The 13,156-nt window shown below is 43.8% G+C and overlaps 1 annotated feature.

The window, feature by feature from the left end:
- Nucleotides 3,702-3,751: an enhancer, noted in NCBI's record as "active region_6639". NCBI's record gives its function as "activates an Ori minimal core promoter by ATAC-STARR-seq in GM12878 lymphoblastoid cells {active_cell/tissue: GM12878}" and the evidence as "EXISTENCE:reporter gene assay evidence [ECO:0000049][PMID:35858748]".

The following is a 13,156-nucleotide window of genomic DNA, read 5'->3' as shown; positions in this document are numbered from 1 at the left end:
GATGCAACAGTGAGTAAGAATGACATGGTTTCCACTCTCACAGAAATTAGTCTTTTTTTTAGATAATACAGGTCAGTAGTGAAGACACATTTTTCTACTTTCCAAGTTTTCTTGTGCTGGCCTTGGCTCCTCTAGTGGCTATACGGGTGACATCTCAGGTGACATGGTGATTAGTTTGCTCTCACATTGCTATAAAGGAAATACCTGAGACTGGGGAATCCATAAAGAAAAGAGGTTTAATTGGCTCATGGTTCCACAGGCTGTACAGGAAGCATGGCAGCATCTGCTTCTGGGGAAGCCTCAAGAAACTTACAATCATGGCAGAAGGCAAAGTGGGAGCAGGCATCTTACATGATAAGAGCAGCAACAAGAGAGAGAGAGAGAGAAAGAGAGGAGGTGCCCCAAACTTGTAAACAGCCAGATCTCATGAGAACTCTATCATGAGAACAGCACCAAAAGTATGGTGCTAAACCATTCAGGAAGGACCATCTCCATGGTCCAGCCACCTCCCACCAGGCTCCACCTCCAACACTGGGGATTACAATTTGACATGAGACTTGCCTGTGGATATGGATGCAGAGTCAAACCATATCATTCCACCCCTGGCCATTCCCAAATCTCATGTCCTTCTCATATTGCAAAATATAATCATGCCTTCCCAACAGTCCCCTAATTTTAACTCATTTCAGCATTAACTCAAAAGTCCAAAGTTTCATCTGAGACAAGGCAAGTCCCTTCTGCCTATGAAACTGTAAAATAAAAAACAAGTTAGTTACCTTCAAGATACAATGCAGATATAGGTATTGGGTAAATACTCCCATTCCAAAAGGGATAAATCAGTCAAAAGAAAGGGGCTACAGGCACCAGGCAAGCCCAAAACGCAACAGGGCAGTCATTAAATCTTAAAGCTCCAAAATAATCTCTTTTGACTCCATGTCTCACATGAAGAGCACAGTGGTACAAGGGGTGGGCTGCTAAAGCCTTGACAGCTATGCCCAAGGCTTTGTGCCCTACTCCTCAGTACCACTTTTCTATATTAGTCCATTTTCACGTTTTTATAAAGTAATACCTGAGCCAGTGGCTCATGCCTGTGATGCCAGTACTTTGAGAGGCCGAGGTGGGTGGATCACCCAAGGTCAGGACTTCGAGACCAGCCTGGCCAACATGGTGAAGACCCGTCTCTACTTAAAATAGAAAGTTCAGCCCCCATGGCTGCACTCACGAGTTGGCATTGGGTGCCTTGTTTTTCCAGGTGCACAGTGCAAGCTGCTGGTGGATCCACCATTCTGTGGTCTGGAGGATGGCAGTCCACTTCTCACAGCTCCGTGAGGCAGTGCCCCAATGGGAACTCTGTGTGTGAGGTCCAACACCACATTTTCCCTCCACACTTCCCTAGCAGAGGTTCTCTATGAGGGGTCCACCCCTGCAGCAAGCTTCTGCCTGGACATGCAGGCTTTTCCATACATCCTCTGGAATCTAGGCAGAGGCTCCCAAGCCTCAACTCTTGCATTCTGTATACCTGCAGGCTTAACACCATGTGGAATCCACCAAGACTTACGGCTTGCACCCTCTGAAGCAGCAGTGTGAGCTTAACCTGGTTCCCTGTTAGCCACTGTGGGAGCCGGAGCAGCCAGGATGCAGGAAGCAGTGTCCCGAGGCTGTGAGGCTGCTCAGGGCAGCAGGGCACTGGACCTGGCCCATGGAAACCATTCTTCCTTCCTAGGCCTCTGGGACTGTGATGGGAGGGGCTACAGTGAAGGTCTCTCTCGCTCTGTTACCCAGGCTGGAGTGCAGTGGCACAATCCCAGCTCACTGCAACCTCCGTCTCCCAGGTTCAAGCAATTCTCTTGCCTCAGCCTCCTAAGTAGCTTGGGACTACAGGCATGTGCCACCACACCCAGCTAATTTTTTGTATTTTTAGTAGAGACGGGGTTTCACCATGCTGGCCAGACCGGTCTCAAACTCCTGACCATGTGATCTGCCCACCTCAGCCTCCCAAAGTGCTGGGATTACAGGTGTGAGTCACTGTGCCCGGCCTTGGCTTCTTTTTACTTATGTAAATTTCTGCAGCTGGCTTGAATTCTTCCCCTGAAAATGGGCTTTTCTTTTCTACCACATGGCTCAGAGGCAAATTTTTCAAACTTTTATGCTCTGCCTTGCTTTGAAATGTAACTTTGAGTTTATGTCATTTCTTTGCTTATGCACATGAGCATAGGTTGTTAGAAGCAGCCAGGCCATATCTTGAACACTTTGCTTCTTAGGAATTTCTTCTGTCTGATACTCTAAGTCATCACTCTCAAGTTCAATGTTCCACAGATCCCTAGACGGGGGCACAATCCAACCAAGCTCTTTGCCACGGTGTAACAAAAGTGACCTTTGCCCCAGTTCCCAATAAGTTCCTCATCTCCATCTGAGAACTCATGAACTCATCAGCTTGGCCATCTCTGTTCATATCACCATCAGCATTTTGGTCACAATCATTCAACAAGTCTCTAGTAAGTTCCAAACTTTCCCTCACCTCCCTGTCTTCTTCTGAGCCCTCCACACTCTTCCAACCTCTTCCCATTACCCAGTCCCAAAGCCATTTCCACATTTTTAGTTATCTTTATAGCAATGCCCTACTCCTCAGTACCACTTTTCTGTATTAGTCCATTCTCACATTGCTATAAGGAAATCCTTGAGCTGGGCCAGGCATGGTGGCTCACGCCTGTAATCCCAGCACTTTGGGAGGCTGAGGCGGGTGGATCATGAGGTCAAGAGATCGAGACCATCCTGGTCAACATGGTGAAACCCCATCTTTACTAAAAATACAAAAATTAGCTGGACATGGTGGCATGCACCTGTAGTCCTAACTACCTGGGAGGCTGAGGCAGGAGAATCACTTGAACCCGGGAGGTGGAGGCTCCAGTGAGTTGAGATGGCACCACTGCACTCCAGCCTGGTAACAAAGTGAGGCTTTAAAAAAAAAATACTTGAGCTGGGCACAGTGGCTCATGCCTGTAATCCCAGCACTTTGAGAGGCTAAGGTGGGTGGATCACCTGAGGTCAAGAGTTCAAGACCAGCCTGGCCAACATGGCAAAACCCCGTCTCTACTAAAAATACAAAAATTAGCTGGGCATGATGGTGCATGCCTGTAATCCTAGCTACTTGGGAGGTTGAGGTAGGAGAATCACTTGAACCTGGGAGGCAGATGTTGGAGTGAGCCATGATCACACCATTGCACTCCAGCCTGGATGACAAGAGTGAAACTATGCCTAAAAAAAAAAGAAAAAAAAAAAAAGCCGGGTGTGGTGGCTCACGCCTGTAATCCCAGCACTTTGGGAGGCCAAGGTGGGTGGATCACCTGAGGTCAGGACTTCAAGACTAGCCTGGCCAACATGGTAAAACCCCATCTCTACTAAAAATACAAAAATTAGCTGGGTGTGGTGGCAGGCACCTGTAATCCTAGCTACTTGGGAGACTGAGGCAGGAGAATCACTTGAACCTGGGAGGGGTAGGTTGCAGTGAGCTGAGATTGCGCCACTGCATTCCAGCCTGGGGGACAAGAGTGAGACTCCGTCTCAAAAAAAAAAAAAAAAAAGAAAAAAAAAAGAAATACCTGAGACTGGTTAATTTGTAATGAAAAGAGGTTTAATTGGCTCATGGTCCCACAGGCTATACAGGAAGCAATGAAGCATCTCCTTCTGGGGAGGCCTCAAGAAACTTACAATCATGGTGCCAGAGGGCAAAGTGGGAGCAGGCATCTTACATGGCAGGTGCAGGACCAAGAGCGAGAGAGGGGAGGTGCCACACACTTTTAAACAGCCAGATCTCACGAGAACTCTATCATGAGAACAGCACCAAAGGGATGGTGCTAACCATTCAAGAAGGACCATCTCAGTGATCCAATCACCTCCCACCAGGCTCCATCTCCAACACTGGGGATTAAAATTTGACATGAAATGTGGGCAGGGACACAGATCCAAACTATAGCACATGGTGACTGTGGTAGCTCTGACAGTGGAGGCAGGGAGCTCCCCTGTGCTGGTAATGTGGTTTTAATACACTGACAGTGGTTACTTAGTCAAGCTCTAGAGAACAGTCTTGGAAGCAGCTTCCTCTTTAACGACAAGGACAAAATTCTCAGCAGTGGCCACAAGAACATTGGCAATAGTAGCTGTTCTGCCATTTTCAGTGGTCTCTCCAGCACCACTGCAAACTAAATAGAAAACAAATGCAAATTTTATGTCTTTTTATGAAAATGTAGCTCCTGGTCTTGCTTGGAAACACATCAGTTCTGTAAAATAGAGCACTTTTTTATACCCTAATTTTCTCAAGAAATGATGTCATTTGTTTCTCAAATATTTAATATTTCTGTAACTACATGGTAAATCAAGATTGCTTTTCAATTCTTTGTGGTTTTTTTTTTGTTTGTTTGTTTTTTTTTTTTTTTTTTTTTTTTTTTTTTGAGACGGAGTCTCACTGTTTCCCAGGCTGGAGTGCAGTGGTGTGATCTCGGCTCACTGCAAGCTCCGCCTTCTGGTTCACGCCATTCTCCTGCCTCATCCTCCCGAGTAGCTGGGACTACAGGCGCCCCCCACCACGCCCAGCTAATTTTTTGTATTTTTTAGTAGAGACGGGGTTTCACCGTGTTAGCCAGGATGGTCTCAATCTCCTGACCTTGTGATCCACCCGCCTCCGCCTCCCAAAGTGCTGGGATTACAGGCATGAGCCACTGCACCCAGCTGCTTTTCAATTCTTCTGGTATTTTCAGCTTGGTGGTATGTAGTAGCTAGGTGATGACATTAGATAACATTGTTTTTAGAAAGGGAAATTTAAAATAATGTGTCTAGTTGGGACTCTACAGAGAAAAGAAGACAGTAAGTAATTAGCCAATTTATAACTAGGAACAAAAGATATAGCTCCAACCTTTACTTTTGAACAAAACAATGAAATAATATAAAAATAGAACAGTACTTTTTAGGTAATATAAGTGAGTTGAAACCTCGGCCAGGCATGGTGGCTCACTCCTGTAATCCCAGCACTTTGGGAGGCCGAGGTGGGTGGATCACCTGAGGTCAGGAGTTCGAGACCAGCCTGACCAACATGATGCAACCCCATCTCTACTGAAAATAAAAAAAAATTAGCTTGGCGTGGTGGTGCATGCCTGTAATCCCAGCTACTCAGGAGGCTGAGGCAGGAGAATCGTTTGAACCCGGGAGGCAGAGGTTGCAGTGAGCCAAGACCTCACCATTGCACTCTAGCCTGGGCAATAAGAGCAAAAGACTCCATCTCAAAAAACAGCAACAATGAAAAACCCTCATAAGAACATTGTATACGCTGTATAGCGTTTTTGGCCTTAACTATCTCTGCACATGGTAGAGTTTAAAGCTTCTTAAATTACACAATTTGCAGAATGCCACATAGTCTGACTTCCTTTACTGCATCGGTCATAGGGGACTGCTATGGTAGATCCTTTTCTTCTGCCTGTCTGGGAGATTCCTACCATTGCAAGCACTTCCTATGAGGTCAGAAATGACAAATGTATAGCAGACATGTCTATGCCCAGAGGACCACCACTCATCCATTCCAGCACTCTTTTTTTTTTCTTTTGAGACAGAGTTTCGCTCTTGTCATCCATGCTGGAGTACAGTGGCGTGACCTCTGCTCACTGCAACCTCCGCCTCCCAGGTTTAAGCAATTCTCCTGCCTCAGCCTCCCAAGTAGCTGGGATTACAGGCACCTGCCACCATGCCAGCTAATTTTTGTATTTTTAGTAAGGATGGGATTTCACCATGTTGGCCAGGCTGGTCTGGAACTCCTGACGTCAGGTGATCCAGCCGCCTCAGCCACCCAAAGTGCTGGGATTACAGGCATGGGCCACGGCTCCTGGCCCCAGCAATCTTTACCACTGAGCCCATGCATGGCCTCAGAATCCTTATCAGCTCACCATTCTAGGGCCCACTACCAATCGGTTGGAATTAACAGGAGATGAACTGTATTTGGTATTTTTGGATTAGGGAATTAAAACAGGGGCATTAGCTCTAAAGCCTATAGGGAAGTGAGGCTGTAATCCCAGCACTTAGGGAGGCTAAGGTGGGAGGATTGCTAGAGCCTGGGAGTTCAAAACCAGCCTGGGCAAGAGAGAGAACCCATTTCTACAAAAAATAAAAATTTAGCCAGGCATGTTGATGTGTCCTTGTAGTCCCAGCCAGTTGGAAGGCTGAGGCCATAGGATCACTTGAGCCCAAGAGGTTGAGGCTGCAGTGAGCTGTGATTGTGCCACTGCACTCCAGCCTGGGTGGCAAAGAAAGACCCTGTCTCAAATGAATAAATAAATAAAGTGAAATGAATGTATGTTACCTAGCAAAGAAGAAATTGACTTGCCAAGAATAAGACCTTTTTTGTTTTAATTTTTAATATCAGCTTAATATCTGGGCCTGAAGAATCAGGAGAGAGAGTTTGAGCATGAGGAAGCTAAGAATGGTAATGACCAGGTCTGCAGTTTGAGGAGCAGGACCAGGGAGGCAGCACAGAGAAGAGTAGATGAGAGAAAAAGCCAAATTTGGCTTGTTTTGCAATTCCCTGGGATCATGTTACTCCAGCTTGGTCTCTTTCCTAGTGCGGGCTACTAACAGTGACTCACCTGCCAGTTCCTGCATTACCTGGACTTTTTGGAAGTCTTCCACCAAATACTGGTTAGAGCAGCCCAGCCCCATCCACCTTGTGACAACTGACATCATGCTCGAAGCAAATCTGAGTAAATAGTAAATCCCTGTGCTGATCATTTCTAGTGAAAACGGAAAAAAAGCTTTTCTTTTCTTTCTTTTTTTTTTTTTTTGAGACGGAGGCTCGCTCTTTTGCCCAGGCTGGAGTGCAGTGGAGCGATCTTGGCTCACTGCAAGCTCCGCCTCCCGGGTTCACGCCATTCTCCTGCCTCAGCCTCCCGAGTAGGTGGGACTACAGGCGCCCGCACGGAGCCTGGCTAATTTTTTGTATTTTTTGTATTTTTTTTTTTTTTTTTTTTTTTAGTAGAGACGGGGTTTCACCGTGTTAGCCAGGATGGTCGCGATCTCCTGACCTCGTGATCCCCCCGCCTCGGCCTCCCAAAGTGCTGGGATTACAGGTGTGAGCCACCGCTCCTGGCAAGGAAATAAAGCTCTTAGTGACCTCGGAGACTATGAGATTTGTGGCTTTACAATGAATGGCCTGAGGTCACATGTGTAGCCAGCCAAATCTAGGAACTTCCACTTAAGGTTATCTGATAAAGTCACTTAATGGTGGGGATAATTTTATTGGCCCATTTAATGAAATGACAAAGACCATAATACAGCATTGCAAATTGCCACTTTCTCCTTTACTACCTGTGTGACCTTGGACAAGTCTTGCTATTTTTCTATTTCCTTATCTGTAAGGTAGTGTAATTCCTTTTTTTTTTTAAAAAAAGAAAAATGACAGCAAAATTTATTGAATGTATACTGTGCGGAAGACATTGAAGGTTGGTCCTGGGGAGTAATCAAGGATGGAATAAGGATAGACAGCACCTTGGAGGACCTTATCACACAGAATAGAGACAAGGAGAACAATAAGAACAACACAAAAGGGCTGGGCGTGGTGGCTCACGTCTGTAATCTCAGCACTTTGGGAGGCTGAGGTAGGTGGGTCACCCACCTCACCCACCTTTTTGTTTATGTTAATGGAAAAATAAAAGGCTTCCATATACTTTACTCTCTTGTGCATTATTTATGGAAGAAAAAAACACAGTGAGCAGGTAAATAGTTTGAAATTGATATATATAAGGATGTAGTATATGCTTTAGTATTGTTAACAGCTCAACCACAACACATTACCAATGGGAAAGGCAAAACTTGCTCCTATATAAGCCAGAAGCTTTGGAGCTAGTTATGGTACAAAACCCAAGTTTGCCATCTTCAAATCACACTCTGTTCATTAGAACAAAGATGCCAATGTGCAACCTTAACGTTCTGTTACTTTCGAAAACATTTACTCTTCTTTTGACTCTGAGCTGAAAGAAGCACAGAAGAGTTTTATAGCAACAAGCTAAAAATAAACTAATCTTCTGTAGTCCTCCCCCTTTTAGCAGTAGGAGTCTAACCCAATTAACAAAGTGATTTAAATGAAAATAAAATTGTGATCAGTTTTGGTTACTTTCTCCTCCTCCCTGCTGTTGAATCCCACTGTAATTAGCATTTTAATTTTTTAGTATCTAACTTTAGTCAAGAAGATGAAATTGAGAATGTATCCTGTGTAATTTTTGAGAATTTTTATTTTGTTCTCTACTAATACACTCTCCAGTCTGATGAACTTCCATATTTCCACAATTTTATACATACTTTTTCTCTAGAACATGAGGAATAACTCCAAGAGAAAGGACCAATTAGCAAGGAATTCACTATCTACATCTCTTCTTTTTAAAAAATTATTATTTGTGTTTTTTTTGTTTGAGATGAGTCTCCGTCACCCAGGCTGGAGTGCAGTGGTGTGGTCTCGGCTCACTGCAACCTCTGCCTCCCGGGTTCAAATGATTCACCCACCTTATCCTCCCAAGTAGCTGGGACTACAGGTGTGTGCCACCACACCCAGCTAACTTTTGTATTTTTAGTACAGATGGGATTTTGCCATGTTGTCTAGGCTGGTCTCAAACTCCTGACCTCAAGTGATCTGCCTGCCTCAGCCTCCCAAAGTGCTGGGATTATAGGCATGAGCCATCGTGCCTGGCCTGCATCTTTTCTTATTTGCCTCAAACATAGAGCAAATTACCATACTTGAAATATATATGTTTAGCCTCAATTCGTCTTGGATATACTGATGACAAAGTCAAATAGAAATGGAAAGAAATTATGTGGCTGATATTTTATTTGCATTGTTTTCCTAAATTAATTATTTTATTTTTGAGACAGGTCCTGCTCTGTCACTTGGGCTGGAGTGCAGTGGTGTGATCATGGCTCACGGCAGTCTCAACCTCCCAGGCTCAAGCAATCTTCCCACCTCAGCCTCCTGAGAAGCTGAGACTATAGGCTTGTGCTATCAGCTAAGAGTATAGGTGTGTACATCCAGCTAATCTTTTAATTAAAACATTTTTTTAAATTTTATTTTATTTTTTTGATACAACACTTGAACAAACTTGACCAGCTAATTTTTGATTTTTTTTTTTTTTTGTAGAGATAGAGGTCTTCCTATGTTGCCCAGGCTGGTCACAAACTCCTGGGCTCAAGGGATCCTCCTACCTAGGCCTCCTAAAGTGCTGGGATTACAGGCCTGAGCCACTGTGACTGGCCTAATTAAGAATCTTAAATGCACAATGTAGCCTAATTGTGGTTGTATCATCATTTATATTGAATTAAAAGAATAATTTTTCCTGAAGCACATAGAAACTTAAATAGCAGGGCTGAGCCAAAGCCGAGAACCAGTGATTTCTGACTAGAAGGAGCACCCTTTGCCCTACTACTTGCGCCATCACATATTAATAACATTGCTTGTCCAGTGTTCCGCATCCACAAGCCTGCAGACTTCCTCCCCAATTCCTACTGAAGCAATGCGTTTTATTTCCATAAGACAACTTACTTTCCCTTCTCATTTGCAGGAATAGATTGGTTTGTTCTTTCATCCTCAGAGCTACAGAATATTGACATGAATTTTAATATATATAATAAATAGATGAACACTGTGTTCTTGTCTCAGTAAGGTGTTTCATTTCTTTTTATCTTTAAAGTATTTAATAGACATCTCTAAGACAGATATTCTCCTTATTGTCTTGGATATATATGGCTAGATCCTTTTGCCTTAGCTTGAAGCTTTTTTCCTTCTTCCTCTCCTTTTCAAGTCCTTCTCTTCTCTACCTCTCTACCCTCTCTCTCCCTCCTCACTTCCTTTCCTTTTCCTCCCTTCCCTTTCCTATCTTTCTTTTTTTCCCCCTTTGTGGGATTAATATCACTTGACATAAATCAAGTAACAAAAAAATTAGAAATCTTGGACGGATGCGATGGCTCACGCCTGTAATCCCAGCACTTTGGGAGGCCAAGCTGGGTGGATCACTTGAGGTCAGGGGTTTGAGACCCGCTTGGCCCACATGGCGAACCCTGTCTCCACTAAAAATACAAAAAATTAGCCAAGTGTGGTGGCACATGTCTGTAATACCAGCTACTTGGGAGGCTGAGGCAGGAGAATCACTTGAATGTGGGAGGTGGAGTCTGCAGTGAGCTGAGATCGAGCACCGCACTCCAGCCTGGGTAACAGAGCGAGACTCTGTCTCAATAAAAAGAAAAAAATTAGAAATCTAATAAGGGTCTCAGATGCCTAAATATTTTCCCCTAAAAATGTGACTAACCCTGATGGCTTTCAAGCTCAAGAATTCATTTCAAACTAAATTATTTAATTATTTGGTATAAAAGACAAAGGCAACAGCAAGAGTTTATTTACCAAATGTCAGAAGAACAAATCAGTGGGTGAGATGCTCTCTCTGTCTGTCTCTCTCATATACACACACACTCACACACACACTCATAGCCCACTTGATAAATTGTTGGCAATTTTGTGGTGAATACTCTAGGGCATGCTATTTAAAACAGACCTTATTTAAAGCTTTTTTACTTGAAGTGGGTCATTCTATACTTTCTAACATTCGGATACAATATTCCCTACAAAATGTATATAACTTTTAAGGTTGGAAATCAAGTTCACCTCAGTAAACAATGTGTTAACCAGTTTCTTATTGCAAATCTCTTAAAACATTTATAAAAGTGAAGGAAATAAATTTTTATTGAAGTTTGCTTCTGTGTCAGATGCCATTCTTTGAGTTTAGGTCCTGAAGATAGACTGCCTAGGTGGAAATCTGGGCCCTGCCACTCTCTACCCGCATGACCTGGGCAAGTGACTTAATTATGCTGTGTCTTAGTTTTGTCATCTGTTTGTAAAAAATGGGACCAATAACTCAGTTTATATGTAGAATATATGACTCAGCTTATATAAACTAAGACTCAGTTTATATGTAGTTGTGAGGATTTATTAGATAATACAATAAAATATTTGGCACACTACCTGATTTCTTTTTTTGTTGTTGTTTTTTGAGACAGAGTTTTGCTCTTTTTTTTTTTTTTGAGACAGAGTCTCGCTCTGTCACCCAGGCTGGAGTGCAGTGGTGAGATATCTCGGCTCACTGCAAGCTCTGCCTCCCGGGTTCATGCCATTCTGCCTCAGCCTCCTGAGTAGCTGGGACTACAGGTGCCTGCCATTGCGCCCGGCTAATTTTTTTTTTGTACTTTTAGTAGAGACGGGGTTTCACCGTGTTAGCCAGGATAGTCTCGATCTCCTGACCTTGTGATCCACCCGCCTCGGCCTCCCAAAGTGCTGGGATTACAGGCGTGAGCCAACGCGCCTGGCCGAGTTTCGCTCTTGTTGCCCCGGCTGGAGTGCAATTGCACTATCTTGGCTCACCGCAACCTCTGCCTCCTGGGTTCAAGTGATTCTCCTGCCTCAGCCTCCCGAGTAGCTGGGATTACAGGCATGCGCCACCACACCCGGCTAATTTTGTATTTTTAGTAGAGATGGGGTTTCTCCATGTTGGTCAGGCTGGTCTCGAACTCCTGACCTCAGGTGATCCGCCTGCCTCAGCCTCCCAAAGTGCTGGGATTACAGGCGTGAGCCACCACGTCCGGCCTACACTGCCTGGTTCTTAATGAATAAATGTCAGCTCTGATTGTTGTAGATATCTTTTTTTTTTTTGAGACAGAGTCTCACTCTGCTGCCCAGGCTGGAGTGCCGTGGCGAAATCTCGGCTCACTGCAACCTCCGTCTCCCAGGTTCAAGCAATCCTCCCACCTCAGCCTCCCTAGTAGCTGGGACTACAGGCTTGTACCACCACACCCAGCTAATTTTTGTATTTTTAATAGAGACAGAGTTTCACCACGTTGGCCAGACTGATCTCAAACTCCTGACCTCAAATGATCCGCCTACCTTGGCCTCCCAAAGTGCTGGGATTATAGGCATGAGCCACCACACCCGGCCCCTGTTGTTGATATCGTTGCTTACCTTCAGGACTTATTATTTTTCTCTTTAAGGAAGGCACTATTGCATCTATTTACCTGCTGAGTAAATTTAACCAGAAAAGTTCAGTAACTAACCGCCAAGCCACAGAGCTCTTCACCAGCAGAAAAGCCCTAGTATTTGAACTTTCTTTTTCTTTTTTGTTTTTCGTTTTTAGAGATAGGATTTTACTGCGTTGCTCAAGCTGTCTCCAACTCCTGAGCTCAAGCAATCCTCCTGCCTCAGCCTCCCAGGTAGCTGGGACCACAGAGATGCACCATTTGTCTAGCTCTTAAGCCCATGTACCACACTATACTGAGTTCTCTGTCTGCATACAGATTATAAGTCATTATAGGATATTTTAACATACAGGACAAATCAAAAAATTTGAATTTATTGGGTATTCCAACAACCAATTAATTCTAGTAACAGAAATATTTGTAGCCACTCTAAATTTTTATTTTATGAGAAAGAAGCAGATAATTAAAAATCAAATTGTAAGGAAATTTAGCTAAAGAAGAAGGAAGAGAAGCAGGAGAAACAGAAGGAGGGGAGGGAGGATGAAAAATACACACACACCGTAAGGTGTATTTCAAATGTGGGGCAGGTTGACATCACTCTTAACTCAATTACGTCATTCAGAATTGCTTTAGGGGCATCGCAACGTAGTTTGAAGTACACAGACTTTGGAATCGAGTAGAGTGCAGCTATCTGGATTCCAGCATCGCTGAGTTAGGGAGCTCTAAGCCACAGTTTTCTTATGGACAATTGTATCTACTTCATAGGTTTGTTAAGAAGAGTAAATGGGACTGTTTTTGAAATGCCGGGAATGATGCTTAGGACGGATATGGTGCTGAGTGAACAAAGCATAATCAGCTTTTATAGTAGTTTTTTTGAAGTTGTATAAGGTTAAAATGGGCCTTAATAACGTTAAAGAATGCTCAATAATAGTGTAATTATAACACTGTGGAATTTTAGAGATGCATGGCCTTCTAACTCAATCACTTCATCTTATATCTGAAGAAACTGAGACTCAAAAAGACTAAGTGAATTGCCCCAAATCACACAGCTAATTATAATCAGGTTGGGACTAGAACCTGGCCTCTTAATTAATGCTTCTCTTAATTTTAAAAA

Source organism: Homo sapiens, chromosome 12 (genome assembly GCF_000001405.40).
Source record: "Homo sapiens chromosome 12, GRCh38.p14 Primary Assembly".
NCBI classification, from domain to species: domain Eukaryota; kingdom Metazoa; phylum Chordata; class Mammalia; order Primates; family Hominidae; genus Homo; species Homo sapiens.
The sequence above is the reverse complement of the archived record's forward strand: the minus strand, read 5'-3'. Positions and strand labels throughout refer to the sequence as shown.